The sequence below is a fragment of the Homo sapiens genome, chromosome 10 (genome assembly GCF_000001405.40).
Source record: "Homo sapiens chromosome 10, GRCh38.p14 Primary Assembly".
NCBI classification, from domain to species: Eukaryota; Metazoa; Chordata; class Mammalia; order Primates; family Hominidae; genus Homo; species Homo sapiens.
This window is the reverse complement of record NC_000010.11, coordinates 86,672,335-86,692,218: the sequence shown is the minus strand read 5'-3', so window position 1 is coordinate 86,692,218 and position 19,884 is coordinate 86,672,335. Positions and strand designations below refer to the sequence as shown.

General features: G+C 56.9%; 1 protein-coding gene across 12 annotated transcripts in view, besides 6 other annotated features; it reads right to left on the bottom strand.

Moving 5' to 3' along the window:
- The window catches only part of LDB3 (LIM domain binding 3), a 69,285-nt gene that overhangs the window by 43,854 nt on the left and 5,547 nt on the right, over window positions 1-19,884 (bottom strand). For 5 of the 12 annotated variants that reach the window (NM_001368068.1, NM_001368066.1, NM_001080114.2 and 2 more), the window contains 5 exons: window positions 12,701-12,852; window positions 12,062-12,137; window positions 6,519-6,541; window positions 4,947-5,150; window positions 154-323 (listed from right to left, as the gene is read on the bottom strand). In NM_001368068.1, the coding sequence (NP_001354997.1) occupies window positions 154-323; window positions 4,947-5,150; window positions 6,519-6,541; window positions 12,062-12,137; window positions 12,701-12,852 (625 nt within the window). Of the gene's footprint in view, window positions 1-153; window positions 324-4,946; window positions 5,151-6,518; window positions 6,542-10,415; window positions 10,784-12,061; window positions 12,138-12,700; window positions 12,853-19,884 lie in introns of all 12 variants that reach the window. The other 7 variants (NM_001368064.1, NM_001368063.1, NM_007078.3 and 4 more) reach the window with 2 other exon arrangements.
- Window positions 2,650-8,147: an enhancer, noted in NCBI's record as "VISTA enhancer hs2143". NCBI's record gives its function as "enhancer in: somite[9/12] | heart[12/12]" and the evidence as "EXISTENCE:transgenic organism evidence [ECO:0001131][PMID:17130149]".
- Window positions 4,526-5,063: an enhancer, noted in NCBI's record as "H3K27ac-H3K4me1 hESC enhancer chr10:88446913-88447450 (GRCh37/hg19 assembly coordinates)". NCBI's record gives its function as "activates a minimal SCP1, AML or CMV promoter by ChIP-STARR-seq in naive H9 embryonic stem cells {active_cell/tissue: H9 hESC(naive)}" and the evidence as "EXISTENCE:reporter gene assay evidence [ECO:0000049][PMID:30033119]".
- Window positions 9,310-9,809: an enhancer, noted in NCBI's record as "H3K4me1 hESC enhancer chr10:88442167-88442666 (GRCh37/hg19 assembly coordinates)". NCBI's record gives its function as "activates a minimal SCP1, AML or CMV promoter by ChIP-STARR-seq in naive H9 embryonic stem cells {active_cell/tissue: H9 hESC(naive)}" and the evidence as "EXISTENCE:reporter gene assay evidence [ECO:0000049][PMID:30033119]".
- Window positions 9,810-10,311: an enhancer, noted in NCBI's record as "H3K4me1 hESC enhancer chr10:88441665-88442166 (GRCh37/hg19 assembly coordinates)". NCBI's record gives its function as "activates a minimal SCP1, AML or CMV promoter by ChIP-STARR-seq in naive and primed H9 embryonic stem cells {active_cell/tissue: H9 hESC(naive and primed)}" and the evidence as "EXISTENCE:reporter gene assay evidence [ECO:0000049][PMID:30033119]".
- Window positions 17,272-17,441: an enhancer, noted in NCBI's record as "experimental_17910 CRE fragment used in MPRA reporter constructs". NCBI's record gives its function as "activates a minimal promoter by MPRAs in K562 erythroleukemia cells, with activity observed for both the introgressed and non-introgressed 10:88434620 variant alleles {active_cell/tissue: K562}" and the evidence as "EXISTENCE:reporter gene assay evidence [ECO:0000049][PMID:34662402]".
- Window positions 18,639-18,827: a silencer, noted in NCBI's record as "fragment chr10:88433149-88433337 (GRCh37/hg19 assembly coordinates)". NCBI's record gives its function as "represses an EF-1alpha promoter that drives an FKBP-Casp9 reporter gene in an ReSE screen in phorbol 12-myristate 13-acetate-treated (for megakaryocytic differentiation) K562 erythroleukemia cells {active_cell/tissue: K562(+PMA)}" and the evidence as "EXISTENCE:reporter gene assay evidence [ECO:0000049][PMID:32094911]".

Sequence of the window (19,884 nt, the reverse complement as noted above, 5' to 3'; positions counted from 1 at the left end):
AGGAGCCCTGCCAGCCACTGACAAACCATCAAGCCTGGCCCACCTTCAAGGGCAGGTAGCAGGACTCCCTGGCTTCTGCAGTGCTGGGCCCAGGTCCCTGGTGGCCCCTCAGCATCTCCCTCCTCTGCAGCCACCCTGAGAGCCTGCACTCACTGAATTCTGTCCCCGTCATCTGGGCCAGGATGCGGAAGGAGCGAGACTGCAGGTTGGAGGAACGGCGTGCCCACTCGTCAGCCTCATCTTCTGGCTTGTTCTGGCTCTTAATCACAGCCTGGTAGACGGGAGAGGCGCTGTCTACGGCAAGGTCCTTAATAGGGAGGCTCCTGTAATGCAGAGAGAGGCCGTGGGCGAGGGCTAGGCTGGAGCCCAGTTCCCACCCTGCTGGGTCCCTGCTCCATGCCCATTGGTGGCCCCTATCGTTCTGTCCCCACCTTGCCTTTATCCATTGCTGTCTGAGAACCTGAGATATGGGCATGACCTGGGTTCTCGGTGCTCAGATTGGTCGCAGTGAAGCAGTGACTCCCCTCCCTCATGAGAGACAGGAGGCTCAGATCCCTCAGGTCTGCCCTTCCCCAGTGCTAACTCCAGGCCTAGGCCGGAGACATTTCCACCCCTAGATTCCCTTTACAGAGGGAGGAAACAGAACAGGTCTTCTTTGACCTCCGTGAGCAGGCCGTGAGTTTGGGGCTGGCTGGAGAGAGGCCAACTGGGGGACACAGAGGATTCCTCAGGATCCATCTCCTGCCCTCCTCACACTTTTGGATCCAAACAAGGAGCTGCCAATGCTGTCACTGCCCTGGAAAAGGACTGGGGGCCATGGGCTCAGTGTGAGTAGGCTGACTCTGCTGGAAAGTGGTAAGAAACAAGGCAGCAAGGCACAGCCCTGGCATGGCCTGTAGGGACAGGGGATTTCTGGCCTGGGGAAGTTGGGAGTGGGGCTGCATGGAAGCCACTGGTCCTCTGTCCCAGAGAAGCGCAGCCCTTTGTGGAGGACCAGGTGACCTTCCCTTAGGCTCCCAGGGTCTGGCACATGATAGGTGCACAAAACTCTTGGCTGAACAAACAAATCCTACATCAGAGCCAGAAGGGACCCTAGAGCCCCTCGGGTCCAGTGCCTCCCAGCCTGAATCAGACTGCAGTGCAGGCCATGGTCAAAAGCCTTACAGCCCACTCACCCTGGCCGGGGGACCAGAGGACCAAGCCGCCCAGCCCACCTTCTCAGAGGCCTGGGAGGGCTCAGGTGAAGCCCACAACAGTAACAGACTGCTGGCCCAGCCCTCTCCTCGTACAGATGCTGAAGCTGAGGTCCAGAGAGGCCAGCCAACTAGCTCCAGGTTACAGCAGATAAGGGCCCCATTGGGTGAGAACCTAGGTTTCCTGGCTGCTAGCCCTGTGTCCTTTCCATTAGGCTCCCTGCAGTCATAGGGCTCAGGAAGGCTACTTCTGCCCAGTGGGAGGCCCTGGACCTATGCCTGGAAAGATGCCCTGTCCAGTACTCTTCTGCCTGCCTCTCCCTTTTCCCCAGAGGGCTGGCTGGCTGGGAGAGGAAACTCCCCATTGTCCATGTCTTATACCCTCCCTGCAAGGAGTGTGACAGGGAACTGACCTTGTGTCCCAGGACTGGTCCCTGTGTCTGGCTCAGGGTGGGCTACAAGAGCAGAGGTGGGGAAAGGTGATCGAGGTTGGGTGGAGCTGCCCTGGCTTCGCTGAAGGCCCTGCCCTGGCCCAGAGAGCTATAGGTACTGGCAGCCTGTGGTTGGGATCGGTTGGGAAAGACCAGCAGAGGCTTCTAGGGTCCGGCCAGGGAGGAGCCTGCAGCTGCCCAGGGAGCAAAGGAGAGGGTGGGATCTTGCTGTTGCTGGGACAGGCCATTTCTGGCATAGGGAGGAGTCCCAGGCGTTCCTAAGGTCTGGGTGAGATGGGCAACAGGAAGGCACAACCAGGTCTCCCTGGTCCTGGCTCCTGACCCACTGGGAGGGGAGGGAAGGAGGGAGTGTGAACTGTGCAGTGGGTGAGGGAAGGTGTGGATGCAAGGCCCTTGAGCCTCTCTACAGAGCTTTGCAATCCAGAGAGCAGGTGGAAGGTGTTTGCTGCTGTTTCCCTGGAATGTGCCCAGGAGGAGCTCCCCTGTGCCTTTCTTGGCTCCAAGGGTTCAAGAAAGCATTTCTGGCTTCATTTCCCACAACCCCGTGCAAAGACCAGGGACTCTTGTTGCTGCTGTGACCAAGACTGGGAGTCAGATAAGGAAACTGCTGTGCCTTTCATGACACCAAGGCTCAGGGAGAATATATGCAGGGAAGATGGAACAGGTCCTGCAGTCCTTGGCCCTTGGCCTGAGTCCACTCTCTGGACCCACTTTCAGCTTGTTCTTCTTGCCACAGAAAACACTCCACAGTCACCGCAACATCAGGTCACCGCTGCATTTGCTTCACTGTGTGCAGCCCCCAGTCTGATTCATCTTTCCCCTCCCATGGGTGGTCATGGCAGGCACTGGCTCCTGCAGATACACTTCCCATGAGGATTCTGGGGAGTGGCCTCCAAGAGGTTACCTTGTCACCTTCTAGCCCTGAATAATGGCCCAGTGTGCATTCTAATGTCTGGGTCTACACTGTTCCAGTGCAGATAGGAAAGGCGGGGGGAGCTACCCCAAAGCACGGCAAGAAGAACACAGGTATGCACCCCCAGCCTGGGCCTGCAGCATGAGTGTCACTACTCTGTGATTTCTGTGACCACAGTGACATTATTTGGACAAACCCCAAGAGACAAGTACTTGCCTGTAAAGGCTGCAAGGGATGTCGTTTGGCTGACAGGTGGGTGTGAGGAGGAGCGTGGACAGAGCACGTGGGCTGACCACTGGTCCTCAGACACATCCCACCAAACCCACACACACCATCCCACAACCAGACAGACGGATGACTGGACAGACACTGCAGGGTCTACTTACGCCAGCGGTGACGCCCTGCCAAGCAGAGGAAAACCCAGCCGTGAGTGCGCGTCCATCATGGGATAGCAGAGGGGCAGCGCACACAAGAGAGCCGGGTTAGGGTCAGAAACGAGTTATGGGAATGGGGTGGGTGAAGGAGGAAGAAAAAGAGAAAAAACACGGTCATTGAGGAAGGAACCACGGAAATTAACAGCAGAAATGGGAGCACGTTATGGCCAAGAGGGTTACTCACTGGCACCACAGCATGGTCAGCTCAGCGTGGCTGCGTTAAAAGGAAGAGGAGAAGAGGACCCTTTCCAGGCATACCAGGGGAGGAATAGGGAGGGGATGGGAGGGGACAGGAGGGAGATGGGAAACGTCCTTCGTGAAGTCTCGATTAATCAACAGTGCATCAATTCCAAAACTGATGGGTGCCCTAGTGGTGAGACCAAATGATAGCAGTCTTCCCAACGTGCAGAAAACAGAAAGTTAGTGAAGAGCATTTCTTTCATTATTCTCCATTGAACTTCCCTTTGGCCATTGCTACTACTTTTAAGAGCACACCAAGGACACACGTGACAAAGAAATGTTAACAGGAAATCCCTGTTAGCTCTTGGGCTTAGGCAGCCTTGTTTTTCTGGGTACGCATGAGCTAATGCTTGTGTTTGTAAACTTGCATGGTCATATTTTCTGCTTTGAATGATGGAATTCAATCAACCTTGCCCAGAATTAGGCGAAGAGCAGCAGCCCTGAGCCTTGGGAGTTTGACTTGAAACTCCAGGACAGGCGACCTCTGCTCCCTGGTGGCCTAGAGGAAGTACTGCATCTCCAAAAGGGCCCCAGGCTCCTCAGTTCCAGCAGAGCCCAGAGAGCCCACACTGTTCCACCCTTGGGGCTGGGGAGCCTGCCCTTTATAACCTGCATGCATATCATGGCCACAAGGGCTGGGGTCTGGAAAGGCCAAGTGCAACTGGGTTCTCTGGGACTTTTTAATCCCTCCATCCCTCTTATTACATCGGTTTTTCTGGCTTTGGAAAAAAGCATCACTGTCATTTCAAGACTTTTTGCCTTGAATTGCTAGGGGATCCTGACCCAGGGATAAGATGTTGCCGAGACTGATAATCAGCCAACACAGTGGTATTCCCAAGTAGAAAACAGTGAGGAATTATGTGTATGTGTGTAAAAAAGAAACAACAGATAGACAGACACATACACACACACACACACACACACACACACACACACGAGGGTCGGGGGAGGGAGAGACAGAGAAAAAGCAACAAGGAGGAAGACAGAAAGAGACATACAGAGAGAGGGAGACACAGAGACACGCAGAGAGAGGTCTGTCTGCATGAATGTTTGCATTGCTAGCATTTTTCATCCACAAATGATTTTCAGCCAACTCTTTCTTTACCAACCCTCAAATTCCCCAGCCATAGCTAATGGGTGAATTCCAGGAACCAAGGATGTCTTAAATGCCACTGCCTTGAGGCCGGGCTTCCTAGGGCAAAAAGAAGGGGATTGCTCCCATCTGTGGGACTGATTGCCAGCAGTAGTGTGGATGGTTGGTCGCAGACCCCTTCCCAAACCAGAAACCCAGCCAGTGTATTTGAATCAATTCTCATTGCTGGAAGAACCTGGTAACTTCCCCCTCCTTAAAGGACAGCTTCGCTGTGAGAGGCCTGGGGGCCTCCAGAATGGTCCCCTTGTTAAGAGGACTGTAGAAGTCTCTTCTTCCAGCCTCCTCATAGAGCCTGGGAAAATGCAGAGGCTGTGAAAAGCACTTTGAGGAGCCACCATTTTCTGCATTTCTCCACCCTTCTCCTAAAGCTGACCATGGAGAGGGTCTGAAGAGAGGATACCCACGTTCCAGAAGGCCCTGGTGAAGGCTGGCTCCCCTCCAAGGGCCATGCCTCCAGGAGGTCCAACGTGAGGGAAGAAAGCTGGTCCCGATGGTGCCCAATGGCCCATACCCCTCGGGCTCTGGAGGCACTGAGTGGCGGTGGAGGAGGGAGGCGCTTACCCACTGAAGTCACTGCCTTGGGCTTGGGCCTGCCCAGCGATGGCATCCATGATGGCATCCTGGGAATACATGCTGATGGGCGTGTTGTACTGCGCATGGATGATGGTGGCCTTGCCGCCCAGCCCCTTCACCTCGATGGGCTTGTGGGTGGACAGGGCCGAGTCCTTCAGGGCACTGGGGTTGAAGCGTTCCTGGTAGTCGGCGCTGGGGGAGGGGTGCGGGAGTACGGGCAGGGAGAGGGAGGAGAAAAGGGCAACAGGTGGCGGTTACATGGGTGGCCAAGGCAAGGGCTGGGCGCGGTGGGTGTCGAGAGAGATCTCCCAGAGCCGAGGCCCTGAACCCCCATAGGCTACACAAGTCTCCAGATGGTGGGTGGTCTGGGTGTATTCAAGAAAATCCTTGGCACCCTCCCCCAAAGCCCAGTGCAGCAGAAGGTTTTCTTTTTTCTTTCTTTTTTTTTTTTTTTGATACAGGGTCTCGCTTTGTCGCCCATGGTGGAGTGCAGTGGTGTGATCTCCACTCACTCCAGTCTCAACCTCTTGGGCTCAAGTGATCCTCTCACCTCAGCCTCCTGAGGTAGCTAGGACCACAGGCATATGCCACTATTTTTTTTTTTTCTGTAAAGACAGAGTCTCACGATGTTGCCCAGGTTGGTCTTGAACTCCTGACCTCAAGCTGATCCTTCTGCCTTGGCATCTCACAGTGTTGGGATTACAGGCATGAGCCACCACTCCTGGCCATAGAAGGGTTTCCTTGCCCATCTTGGCTTTCCCAGCTCCCCTGCAGTGCCTGGCTCAGCCTGAGCTCCCTCCCAGGGTCTGCAGGGGCTGCCAGGCACAGAGAGATCTCCCACTACACACAGCAGGGGAAGCGCAGGCATGGGGCTGGGGGTAGGGGTCGGGAGCAGCAGCCCAAGCTGAGTCCAGAATGCCCCAAAGGTGAAAAGCGGCTCCACTGGCACCCGCAGGGATTCTGAGCAAGGTTTCTCCGTGAAGGGGCTCTTCCTGCAGGCCACCCCCTTGGTGGCCCAGGGCTCTGATCTTCCAGACGCTTCAGGGAATGTGCTTCTTCCTCAGAGCAGGGCTCCAGCTGCCCAGGCCCCCTCAAGTCCAGTTTGCTGAGTAGCTGGCCATCCTCTACCCACAGGAGGCTCTTCCCTCCAATGGATAGGTGCGCTCCCCGGGCAGACAAGATCCAGTGCAGCCCTTCTGAGGGGTCGCCAGGACAGAAAGGTCTTCAGGCTCACACAGGCCCAGCAGCAGCACAGCCTGTGTCCCCCTCCCCCTGCGCCCGCCACCGTCACCAACCCCAGGCACATCTTAAGCAGCTGCTGCAGCAGGAAATTGGGAATGAAATTAGAACCATCGGATGGAGCCCCCACTCCCACCCCCAAATGCTTCTACTCCAGCTTCACACATGCAGGCTCACCCAGGGGTACAAGTGTACCCCACTCATACATATGCACATACATGTACACATGCCAGCAGGCACACTCTATCCACGCCAGACACACGCAGACACATGCTGGGGCTGGCACGCAAGCGCACACACATGCTGTCCTTTGATACTAACTTGGCTGGAGAGTTGACTACCACCTGGGGAGGAAAAGGGCAAAGAAGACAGGGTGGTCAGAGAGAGGCTCCACCAGGGGCAGTTTGAGCGCCGGGGCCATCATCAGCCTGGTCATTGTGGAGGCAGAACCAGCCCAAACCGCAATGGGTGAGGAGAGCAAGGAGTGAGGAGGGAGAACTCAGAGCCGGGAATCACAGCTACTGGGACCCTCGGTTTGGTTCAGAGACTGACACAGCAATGTTTCCCTCTTGAGGGGTCCCCAGTGCCCTCTGCTTTGCCAGAAGAAGGGTTTTCTTGTCTATCTTCAGGGGCACTCGTACCGCATACATGAATCCCCCACATACAAACCTGGCTATAGACCCCAGAGTGGAAGCTAGGGGTGGAGACAGGACCAGCTGTGGCTGCTATGGAAAAGGCTGAGGCCCAGGGGCCTCCCTGCCTGTCAGCAGCTCCGGACTAAGAGTCTGTTTTGTGGGGGCAGCTCTGGAATTCTGTCCTGAGCAGGCATTGCAGTGGTAAGGAGGCAGGGTGTGCGCGGGGTTTCCTATGCCCCCCCAAACCTGACCTCCTCTCCCTCCCAGAAGAGACGCAGGCAGCTCTGGCTGCTCCTCTTGGGGTATAGGGGAGTGGGGTGCACAGTCACCAGGGGCCACTCCTAAAGGCCCCTTGGGCCAGCAATGAGGCAGGATGGAGGAGCGAGCAGGCGCAGGGAGAAGTGTGAGCTCAACAGCCGAGGCAGCACAGTGAGAGGCCCCTTCCTCTCACTCTGACCTGAGAGTGAGCCTCCCAGAGCATGGTCTCTGTAGGGAAAGCAGTGTCTGTCCTGTGTTTCTTTAAATGCAAATTCCCTGCAGTGGCAGACCCTGTGGCCAGCAGCCCTGTCGGGGGCCTGTGAGGGAGACAGTGTGGAAGGTGGGGGGCTCTGTCCCCAAACTCTGCCACCTTCTTGAATCTGCCCAGTGTGGGCTGTAGCTGGGGGAGCTTGGGCCCCGGCCAGCCTGGCCCTGGTCATTTGCAGCCAAACCCTGGGAAGCCAGGCTCAAGTCAGTGGTCCCCGGTCCCAGGGAGCAGCACAGTGGCCCTGCTCTGCCCCAGGCCCGCCACTGCCTCAGAACTGATAAAATTCCCTCTATCCTCCCAGGCTCAAAATAGCTGCAAGTGGAGCTATATTAGGAAAGGGCCAGCACGGAGCTCCATTCCTTCTCCATTTTTGGCCAGTGCTGACAGCTGCAGGGTCATCTCTTGCCCTGACCAGCCCAGGGCCCCCTGCAGAGGGCAGTGTTGGCCTGGCGGGGTGGGGGCTGCCTCTGCCCTCCCTTGGCAGCCTGCTCCTTCTTTGACATTTATTCCTGCCTCCTGCTCAGCTTCTCCCACCCAGGACCTGGGGCCGGGATGGTGGCAGCAGACACATCTGAGAGGAGCCAGTGCCTGGGTCTTGGGGAAGATGAGCCAAAGATGTAAGACCTGCCCAGGGGCCCTTGCACTGAGTGGCCTGAGGGGCACTGCCCTTCAGTGCCAGCCTCAGAAGGGAGGAGAAGAAGGGGGCTGCTGGGATGCCTATGCCCGTCTGCCCTTGCACCACATCTGTTTCTCTCTCCTCCTTCCAAGAGGATACGAGGTGCCAAAGAATTGCACTGCAAGTTGCCCAGAGGAGAGAGTAGCGGAAGGGGCTTCTTTTTGGAGCCAGACAGGACAGAGTTCAAGTTGTGACCCTGCCTCTTCCTAGCACTGTGACTCCGGGCAAATTACCCACCCGTCCCAGCCTGTTTCCTAATTCTAATTCTTGAGATGGTAGTGCCTACCCCGCAGGTGGGTTGTGCAGACTGAACGGGTCATGAGTCTAAGGTGCTCAGCATGGGAGAAGTGTGCCATGGATAAGCACGGGGATTAGCCCTTGCTGACCCTGTTGCTGACCCACTTAGCATAGGTGGTGGCCTCAGCCCAGCAGAGGTTGCCCTAGGCCAGCCCAGGTCAGAGGCTCCAGCCCTTCCTGCCGGCATTGCCTGAGACAGCAGCATCAGCTTTTACTTTGGATGAAGCACCCACTGCACATCCTCCCCTAGCCCACCATCCCTTGGAGGAAACGTCAGACTCTGCTGCTCTGAGCACCAAGAAATAATTTACACATTCATCAGGGTCTGGGCAGCCCCTGCACCGACAGCAGAGTACCTTAGGCACTATGGGAAGCAGAGGTGGGCCTGGCCCCTCACTTCCCTGAGCAGGCAGCAAGTCCCTGTCTCAATGCAAAGTGGAGTCAGGCAGACCTGCATGCCAGTTCTGTCTGCCACTTACTAGCTGTGTGACCTTGGGCAAATTACTTGCTCTCTCTGAGCGTCTATTTTCCAGCTATAAAATGGGGAAAATCATGCCCACCTCTGGAGTTGCAGAGAGAGTTGTTTTAGAGAGTGTTGCTGAGAGATAAGGCATGTGGACTGTTAGCTGGTCCATAGCCAGAGTGCATGGTCAGTATGGGGAGACATTATCATCATTGCAGGTGGGTCTCCTGGGAGTCCCAGGCCACCAGAGGCTGACCTCTCTGCCTGAGGCCAGTTCCTGAAAAGGACCGGGAAGACCTACCAGCCCAACAAATGCGGGACAAGGAGGTCATCTCTGTTCTACTATTCCCTGAGTTTTCTGGCAAAAGTCCTTTGCTGGGGAACCCTGGGGGCATATATGGCTCTGTCACCTTGGGTAAGGGAAGCAAGCCATGTGGTGCCAGAAATCAGCTTCACTGAGGATTCTAGAAAGAGCTGGGGGGGTGGGGAAGCTGAGGGCCACAGGGAGCAGTGACCTGATGGGGCACAGGTGCCTTCTGCTGCAAGGGCAAAGGCAAGGGCATGGGCTTGGGCCAGACTGACCGGATTCCTACTGTGACTCTTCTGGGTGGCTCCAGGCAGTGATGATACCAGGTGTCATGCAGTGAGTGGGTGACAGACAAAGCTCAGAGCTTTACAAGTGTTGGGCCCTTTATCCTCCCAATAACCCTGAGACATGGACAGTGTGATTCCTCCATGATTCGGAGGAGGAACCCTGAACCACTAGGCTCTACTGCCTTGACTCAGCCTGCCCTGCCTGGAGAGGGCTATGCCAATTGCACAGGGCGGGAGTAGAAGTTAGGGTGAGAGAACAAGCGTGAAGGGCTCAGAGCTAACACAGGCCCAGTGTGGGGACTCCGTTCCTTTGCCTCCCCCCTACAGTGCCCCAGTCCCATGTCCTTTTACCTGCTGTGCTCCCAGAGTCCCGCCAGCTAGACCTTAGGGGTGAGGCTGCTGTTCTCCTGCACAGCCCCTTTCTCCTTGGGGTCCTGCTTCCTCGCCACCCCACCCTGGCCAAGGTCACTCCTGCAAACCCGCTCCCTGCACGCCACTGCCAAAGAGTCTCTCCATATACAATTCAAGGGCTCCCTCCTCCAGGCAGCTTCCCAGACTATTCCTAGTCCCAGATAACTCGCTTTTCCACCTCTCGAACGCTCCCCTGCTCCTGCCTCCGAGCTCCCAGAGGGGTGGGGACCTGTGCATAGCTCTTGAAGGCTGCAGGCTGTGCTGTCCTGTTCTGGGGAGTGGCCTAGTGAAAAAGTGTTGGAAGTCAGAATCTCCTGAATTCAGGACTGGCTCGGCCACATGGTAGCTGGACAAACGGACTGTGACTTAACCTTCTCTGAGCCTCAGTTTCCTCCTCTGCAAAATCCGACATGTCACCCCAGCGTGGTTGGTTGTATAAATCGCTAGCATGCCCGGCTCATGGCAAATGCCGCAGGATCACTGCTGACCTCATGGGCTCGGGGCTGGCTGGATTGGGGCCAGTGCCTCGCTCTGACCACCTGACCAGGTCTCTGCCGAGCACCGAGGACCCAGGTGGCCCAGGCCACCTGTGGAGAGCTGTATGTCCGTTACCTACCCTCCTGGGAGTCCGACACCCGAGGCCTTCCCTCGGAGGCTCATCTGGTACATCTGAGCCATCTCCCTCAGGGTCTCTGCCGAGTACAGGCCAATGGGGTTGTTATATTGCCTCGGCTGGCTCGAGCCCGGCAGGGCTTTTGGGCCGAGTAGGTCCCGGGCCCCCTCTGGGCTGGTCTTGGCCCTCAGGCTGGCCCGCGGAGGGCCAGGGTCAGAGGCCTCGGCGAGTGAGGAGAAGGCGGAGGGCCGGGAGAAGGCAGGGCTAAAGGTGGGCCTGAGCTCCGGGGTGCCTGGGGTGCCTGGGCTGGCCCTCGCCTCAGGGCTGGGGCTGGGTGCCACCAGGCTGCCGTTCGTGTCCAGAGCGGGGTCCTGGCACAGGGCAGGCCATGCAGGGGAGAGAGAAGAGAGCGGTTAGAGGCCACACGCGTCCCAGCGCTCCTGCGTGGACCTGAAACAGATGTGTTAGCGCGAGCCCCGCAGCCTGAAGCCCAGAGCGCCTGGGCGCAGCACTTGGAGGGGAGGACACTGGTGGAGGAGCAGGCAGGCACATGGCTCCTGGCCTGGCGTGAGGCTGGCATCCAGCTGGGCAGAGTGCCAAGCCCTGCATGGAAGCCAAGCCAAGCTTCCTGCCCCCAGGGCCCGAGGAAGTGGGTGTAGGGGTCAGGGGATGGCCCGTTCTGTGTCTGTTCCCCCTGCCCCTGAGAGTGGGTGCCCAGTGGGCACAGCCCAGCCTCCTGCTCCACTGACCCCACACTGCCAGTGAGATGAAGTTCCTGGGCTGGTTGTGGGCAGGTGGTGGGGAGGTGAGGAGGGAAGCTGAGGAATTGGGTAGCTCACATTTGGGCCCCTCAGTCTACCTCTGCAAGCATCTCCCAAGCAGCCCTCCACCCACTTCCCCAGTCTGTGACCTACCCCACCCCTGTCAGCCTCTTTTTCTCCCCTCTCCCCACTGCCCTGCCCAATCTGCCCCATTGGACAGGTGGGGTCACTATCAGTTCACATAGGGGGAGAAGTTGAGCAGGGAGCCCTCGGGGGTTGAGCTGCTTGGCGGGGCCTTGGGAAGGGCCTAGGCAGTGGTGAGGTCTGGAGCCAGGGCTTGGCCTCCCTTCTCCCCTGTGCCTGCCATTGCCAGCACGTCCTAAGGGCTACAGGGGAATGCACTTGGGAGGGGCAGGTGGGGAAGTGGAAACCAGAGGGAGAGATCTGGGTGAGGCCAGCAGGCCCCTCCACACCTGGAGGTCCTCGTCAAGCTGGGCCTCAGCCACAGTCACCCAGCGGTGGCCCCCTTGGCAAATGAAGGTCAGAGCCTGGACGCTCGTCCCCTGCCTGGCCAGGAGGGTGACCCCTCTCCTGGGAACACTGCTGCCCAAGCTGGCTTCCTATCAGCCCAGCCACGAGGCATAGCGGAGGTGGCTTGCACCCAGGCAGGCATTCATTCCCACATCCAGTGTTCAACAGGGGCTTGAAAGTCTCTCCCAAGGGGCTGCCTCACTTCCCCAGGGTCAGCTGCAGCAGGGGCAGGGATGGGGCAGGGCTGATCCCACGGCCTCATCCCAGTTGGGCCAGCCAAAGACCAGGCAGGCTGGCCAGGGCCAGCACTCCAGGAACCAGGGCTGAGTGGACCCCGCCGCCACAGTCAGCACCTACCTTCTGGTGAGGGATCACCGGCAGAGGGGTCTGGACTGGAGGTGCTGTCGTGGAGATGGGAATGGGACGCTTTGATCTGTAGAAACCAGAAATGAGACCAGGTGAGGAAGTTGCCCCTGGGGCCAGAAGCTCCTGCCTGGGCAGGGCTGGTGAGGAGAGAGCAAGAGAGAGCCAGAGTCAGCTCTCAGAGATAGCTGAGTCAGAGGGCCCCAGATCCACTGTCCACCCCATGGGCTGGATCTCCCCAAGAAGGCCCTGGGCCCGACGAGGATGGAGAAATCATGGCCCCTGGGCATTTTGGTCAGAATCCATGGGCCCCTGCTACGTCACTGGGGGCTGCCTGGGCAAAGTGGAAGTAGGTAAGACCTGCCTTCCAGGACCAATGGCCCACGTACGGGCAGCACCAGGACCACCATCTCTGCCTTAACTGTAAAGTGAGGCAGTAATGTCTGCCTCTAGGTGCTTGACAGCGACTTGGGCCTGTTCATTCCTCTGGCCCAGGGCTGTCCTTATCTTCCTGCACAGTTTTGTAGCCCAGGGCGGGGCCCACTCAATTGCTATGGGACAATCCCTCTTTTGGCCCCTGCCCCATGCCCACACCCAAACCTCCGCCCCCTGCTCTGGAGAGCTCCCACCTACTTCTGCAGGGTGAGGCTCAAGTTGTAGCTGGCAGACTTGATCTTGTTCTGGGCTTCCAGGTGGGTCATGGTGTCTGTGTTGACGCCGTCAATGGCCACCACGAGGTCACCCTGGCTGAGCTGGGACTGGGCTGCCTTGCTGCCTGGTGTGATCTGATTGGATAGTGGAGGTGGGGGGTGAGCATAAGGAAGGTGGTCCTGAGGAAAGGCCAGTCCTTGGGGAAGAGTCACCCGGGAGTATTCAACAGAAGCCGTCATTGTGTTTTTCATTCGCTACGGCCAGTACCAGCTGCTAACCAAGCCTAGTTCCTCTTTCCGGCACATGACTACCACATTGCTTAGAGCTTTGTGTCTGACTGCAGCCTTGGGACTAGCTCTGGCCAACTGAATGAGGGTGGAAGCAATGTATGCTCCTTCCAGGTCTGCCTCTAGCAACCATCCTTGTGATCCTGCACACTCTCTGCTTGTTGACTGACTGAATGCAGGGCATGGAGAGGAGGAGAGATGATTAAGGAGCACTGTATTGGACGTTGCATGAATGAGAAACTTTTGTTGTTCTGAGCCATTAAGGTTTGGAGGCTGTTGGACATGGTGGCTCATGCCTATAATCCCAGCACTTTGGGAGGCTGAGGTAGGAGAATTGCTTGAGGCCAGGAGTTTGAGGCCAGCCCAGGCAAAGGAGCCCAGACCCTGTTTCTACAAAAATAAAAATATTTGGCAGGGTGTGGTGGTGCATGGCTGTAGTTCTAGCTACTCAGGAGGCAGGTGAGAGGGTCACTCCAGCCTAGGAGTTTGAGGTTACAATAAACTATGATCGCTCACCACTGAACTCCAGCGTGGGTGACAGAGGGAGACTCTGTCTCTTAAAAATTTGCAGGCATCTGCTGGGCGTGGTGGCTCACGCCTGTAATCCCAGCACTTTGGGAGGCCAAGGTGGGTGGATCACAAGGTCAGGAGTTCGAGATCAGCCTGGCCAATATGGTGAAACCCTGTCTCTACTAAAAATACAAAAATTAGCCATGCCTGGTGGTGGGCGCCTGTAGTCCCAGCTACTTGGGAGGCTGAGGCAGGAGAATTGCTTGAACCCAGGAGGCAGAGGTTGCCGTGAGCTGAGATTGCACCACTGCACTCCAGCCTGGGTGACAGAGGGAGACTCGGTCTTAAAAAAAAAAAAAAAAAGGGTGGCCAGGTGTGGTGGCTCATGCCTGTAATCCCAGCACTTTGGGAGGCTGAGGCAGGCAGATCACCTGAGGTCAGCCTGGCCAACATGGTGAAACCCCGTCTGTACCAAAATTACAAAAAAAATTAGCTGGACATGGTGGCATGTGCCTGTAGTCTCAGCTACTCGGGAGGCTGAAGCAGGAGAATCGCTTGAACTCTTGATTGAACCCAGGAGGTGGAGGTTGTAGTGAGCTAAGATTATGCCACTGCACTCCAGCCTGGGTGAGAGCGAGACTCTGTCTAAAAACAAACAAACAAACAAAAAACTGCAGGCTATTTGTAACCTTGATTAGCCTCTTATAACCCCTGCACCCTGCAAAGCTATGGAGCACTTTTCAGACTCCAGGAGAAAAGGGAGATGCAGCAGCTAAGACACAGCAGCATCCCAGAGACACTGCCAGGCTGAAGGGCAGGATAAATGCACCCACTCAAAAGCATCTTAGTGCCAGGTGCTTTGTGCTACCTGGCAGATGTGGAGAGAGTGAGGTAGCCGACAACCCTGCCTGGATGAGCAAACTCAGCTGGGAAATGGGGCAGGGCTTAGGGTTCTGTAGTTGATGTCATACCTCCAGAAGGCAGGGTGCAGGTGCGGGGGCCAGTTCCCAAACCCTGAGCCCCGATAATACCACAGAATGTTACAGTCTGGAGGCCCCATCTTCAGTGTAACCACACAGAATGCCACTGCAACTCCATCCCGGGAATTCCCCATGGAATCTCAGGAAGGCCACACCTCCTGGGACATTACTTGGGATGTCATCGTGGCTCAGACTGCACTCTTGGGGACATCATGCACGATGCCAAATTCTGCACCCCCGGCCTCCAGTAATAGCACACTGAATGCTTTGGTGGCCCTGCCCACAGTAATATCACATGAGATGCAAAATTTCAGAGGTTCTAATAATGTCACCTAAAAAGGCTTGATGGCTGGCCCCTAGTGACATTAGCAGCCCCACCCCTAAAGATACCTCATGGAATGCCAGAGACTCTGGCTGTACCCTCTGTGACATCACATGGAATGGGCTGGCCCCTGCTAATATCACATAGAATGGCTTTATGACCTGACTCCCACCATACCATGTTGGAGGTCCCCAACCCCCATGACATCATGAGGAGTGCCATGCAGGCCTGGCCTTCAGGGACATCACAGGAAAGAGGAGGCTCCGGACCCCACCCCCTACAAGCTGTGGCTGGAAGTGTTCCTTGGCTTTGCCTCCCAAACATGCCCACCAGCCAGTCCTCTGGGCTTCTCTGGGCACATCCCAGTCACCTTCCTGGCTATAACCCAAGGACCAAGCCAGCTCCTAGTGTTGGCAGAAGCTAGATTCAGGCCAAGGCCCGAGAACCATCCTAGAAGGAGCCCAGAGAGGCTCTGGGGACAGTCCCTTGCCCCAGGTGCCAAGCCTGGGTGGGCCTCTGGCCAGGCTCTGGGCTTACAGACATGGGTGGAAGCTCCTGCCAGTCCCCTCACAGGGAAGCCCCTTCCAAACCAGGATGCCCTGCAGTCACCAGTCACCAGTGTCCAGCCCATTCCCAGATGGGCTCTGCAGATGCAGCCCAGGAACTGAGTTGTTTCTGCACGACCACATTACGGGTCACGGAAACACTGCCCTACACCACGTGGGTGATGACGGCAAGACCAGGACAGCCCTCTCCAATTGCTGTGAACCTGCCATTTCAGCCCTAGGGGCTGTGGTGCCCTCTTTTTTTTTTTTCTTTCTCTTTTTTTTTTTTTTTGAGACAGGGTCTTGCTCTGATGCCCAGGCTGGAGTGCAATGGCATCATCTCGGCTCACTGCAACCTCCGCCTCCTGGGTTCAAGCGATTCTTCTGCCTCAGTCTCCCCACAGTAGCTGAGACCACAAGCGCATGCCACCATGCCCGGCTAATTTTTGTATTTTTAGTAGAAAGGGGGTTTTACCATGTTGGCCAGGCTGGTCTTCAACTCCTGACCTCAAGTGATTGGCCTGCCTCAGCCTCCCAAAGTGCTGGGATTACAGACATGAGCCACCACACCCAGCCTGTGGTGCCCTCTTAAAATACTGGCCACCTTGTGCCCACAGCGCCCCTTCCCCTGCCCTGGAATCTGCAGAGACAGGAAAGGACAATATAGAAACAGACGTCTGGACTGCCAGGAAGCCACAGCATCTGCTTTGCAAAGTCCAGCTTGCCCTCCAGGCCCCGCAGGGGCATCTTAGAGCTACTTGAGATTTCTTAAAATACACATAGCCCTTACCCCCAGACTCATTGCCATAGCCTCTATTAATGACAGGAGTGTATTGCTGCCTTGAGTGTAGAGGTGAACAAAGTGTAAAAACCAACATCAGTGAAGGAAAGCAAAAGAGTTTTCTAGACTGAGAGGGGACTCCTGGGGGCAAGTTGAGCTGCCCAGCCAGGCCTGTCCTGCAGAAAATCAACTTTCCCTACTCCTCTATGTGATCCCCAACATTTTATTATAGACATTTTTGCAGATTTCTAGGCAGGAAAAGTAGAAAACATTCTAAAGTGTATACCTGAACACCCGCCACCATGGCTGTACCATAACATTTCACTCGCTTTGCTTTATCACACTCCATCCCTCCACATCCATCAATCCATCTCATTTGCCGGGCATTTCAAAGAAAGTTGCAGGTACCAGCATACTTCTTTCCAGGGCGAATTTTGCAATGTCTGTTCTGTCCTAGTGAACTGCCCATGGGGCTCCCCCACAGCAGGACACCCCCACAGCAAGGCTCTCTCACGGCAGGGCACCCCCAAATGCCCATCTACAGAGAAGGGGTCGTCCCCCTGCAGGGCTGGGTCATTGCAGACCCCACGCAGAAAGGCTGTGGCCTCGGTCACAGAGGAGATGCTGACAGGAAAGATGGGAGTTGTGTCCAGAAGATCATGATGACAGCATGAGCAAGGGCAACAGAATGATATCCAAGAGAGGCTGGGGCCAGATCAGAGGGGCCCTCTGCAGGGCTATCTGACTGTCCTCCCTCTGGAGCTGCCTCAGAGACATCTTTCTCCCACAGGCATGGGTCAGCGGGCACCAGCCCTCCCCACCAGGTCTCCTCACTTCCCCTCACCTAGACCTGCCTGGCTCTCCCTCATCCTCAGGTATGGGCCGGGGGGATGCTTGCTCCCAAGGGAGAGCTCAGCCTCCTGGGGTCTGGTCAGTAGCCAAGCCTCTGACCAGAGGGAAGTGGCTGAGCTGGATCCCCTGCCCAGTGCCTCTCCCCTGCAGCTGTGTCTGCTTGTCAGGGCTCAGCTGGCCTGGCCTTTGGCTGCCCTGAGTAGGGTCCAACATCCCTCAGGGTGGGGGCTGGGGGTGCTGATATCCTCCTCTAGGGAGGTGCTTCAGGCAGGATGGAGGCAGGGACCCTATGGATGATCAGGAGCCATCGGATGCCTTCACCCCACCTCAGGAGCAGCCTGCCTGGGTGGGTTGGAGGGGGGCACCCTCAGACCCTTGCCCAGAGTCCAGGGCTCATGGAGAGTGCAGTCCAGGCACGATGCTTCCACGTCTGTCTTGTCTGACTCCATCCTCCTCTTTCCTTTCTGTGTTTCAGAAAGGGCCCAAAGCACCCAACTCCTTGGAGCTGTGGTTTTTTCTTTTTAATCTTTCTAGCCGCCTTTGAGCATTTAAATGCCTCCCTTGAATGAGTGTTTCATTCCCACTTCACATTTCAGTCTTCTCCCGCCAATGGGCCCCTCTAAACCCTGGAAACCCAACCCTGGGTGCAGCCTAGAATGGCCTCAGGGTGGGGCACCGAGCTCCTGTCTCCAAAGCCCCCAAGAAAGGCTGCAGGTGTTTGGAGGCCAAGATCAGCTCCCTGCCCCCAGGAGCCCTTCCGCCTTGCTGGGCCAAGGTCTTAGGGCACTTCCAAGGGCAGCCCAGGGAGAGCTGGTGCCAGAGCCACTTGTGAGTGCTGGGGGCTGGGGGCGGGGAGGCAGCAAAGGAGGAGCACAGGTGCCAGTATGGGCCGGGCCCCTGACTTCGGTGCCAGCCTCCAAGCCCTCCAGTGTCAAGAGAATGACAATGCCTTTCTCGGGATTGTTGTGAGGATTATGTCGTTAAACAGGGGATTATGTAAGGAGGGTGCAGAGCTGAGAGAGTTTCAGGAAAACTCCAAATCCAGGAGGCACAGTGCTGACCCCATCTGCTACCCCCAGAAGGTGTGAGGCTGGCTGGCTACATCCCCGGGCTCCACAGGAAACAAGATCCACAGCTGGCAGAGGGTGGAGCTTGAGGAGCCAGCCCTGACTGACCAGTTCTGAGCCAGCCTGCTGTCCCTAGAGGGGCCTGGGTGTTGGGGGGAGGGGAGGAAACTTCTGTCCAAGGCCCAGGGGAAAGAAGGCACCAGTGAGGCTTCAGACGCACCCATGCCATTGGCTCCTATTTTCCCAGTTCCCTGGCAGCAGAGAGAGCAGCTGGGCTCTGCAGACGTTTCTGGCCATCATTCACTCCCGGTGTTCAAACCAGGCAGGCCCCTGCCTTCCTCCTCTTCTAGATGTGCCAGTGTAGATGTGGTGGGTGGAGGCTGGGGCAGGTGGCAGATAAGTAGGAAGGGTACAAGTTTCAGCAGCTCCCCCTCCCCACACTCCCAGGCTGCCTGCCTGGGTTGGGGCAGGTGGGACAAAGTGCATTTTCATTGTATGATTAAATTACTGTCTTGTCCTGCTCTGCTGCCTTCCCATCTGGCCTCCCCTGGGGCTTTGCTCATGCTCACCCTCTCACTGGAACCTTCTGTCTCCCCATGGTCCCACTCCCCAACTCCACCCTGGCCGATAAATAAGCCGGAGTCCCCTCAATGCTCAAAAAGCCTCTCCCTGCCTGCCTGGGTGGCTCCAACTGGCTCCTGTCATGTCTCCTTTCTGCACCTCCAGACTCCTCCAAGAAGTGACCCACACATCCTGCCCCCACTGCCGCTGCCTCCCACCTGCTCACACACAGCCGTCTGCCTTTGGCCCCATTATTCCACGCATATCAATGACCTTCTGTGTCCAAAGCCACGGGTCACTGCCCCCTCTGTAGCTGACCACACCTCCCCTGGCTTTCCTCAAGTGTCTCTTGAGTCTCTCCTGCCTCTCTTCCTCCTGTCCAGGTCCACAGTTCCATTTGGGTCTTGGGTGTGGCCAATAAAATGCCCTCATGGGCACTGGCTCTCAAGGGCCCCCAGCAAGGCCCATTCTTGTGTCCAAGGATGGTTCCTGGGCAGAGGTGGAGCCTGGTCCCAAAGGGGTGCCAAAGCTGTGTTTGGGGGTGGGAGGGCTCAGTGTAGAGGAGGGTCTTTGCAGTCAGGGGCAGCCTCTGGATGAGAGGGGACCATGCAGAAAGGGAAGGAGACTCAGGGAATTGGGGAGCTAGCCCCCAGCAGAGCCTGGCCCAGCCTTTCTCAAACAGCCCTGCAGTCCTGACACTGGCTACCCCACAATATCTGTAGGCCCGGAGCCCTGGGGCTGCTTATGCAGCTGCCCTTGCACGGTGTCCTGGCCCAGGGGCCTCCAAGGGTCCAATTCATTCCCCAGGACCCAGCCAGCCTCATGTCCTCTCCTTTTGGATCCCTCACAGAGTTAGATGCAGTTCTGAGCAGCCCGGAGGACCTGGCCTGGGGGACCTCTAAGAATGCATTCCCCAGCTGTGAGCCTCTGAGCCTCTGGCCGTTTATCTTCCCCTGTTGATAGATGTTGCAGGGAGGCCCCTGCCAGCCCCACTGAAGCCCTCGGAGGCTTGCCTGACCTTCAGTGCGGCTATAAACAGCACGGCCTGTCAGCACTGCTAAGAGCTGCCCAAGAAACAGCACTGCGTGCTCCAGCGGCCCCGAAATTCCAGGAATTGCCGGCACAGCTACCCCAGAATAGTCTCAGCCTGTCCCCCTTCCTCTCCCCAGAGACCCTCTGTCCTCAGCATGTTCCCACCACAGCTGGGAGAGTCTGATAAATACTGGAACCGAAACCCACAGAGAAGAGGCCTCTGAGCTGG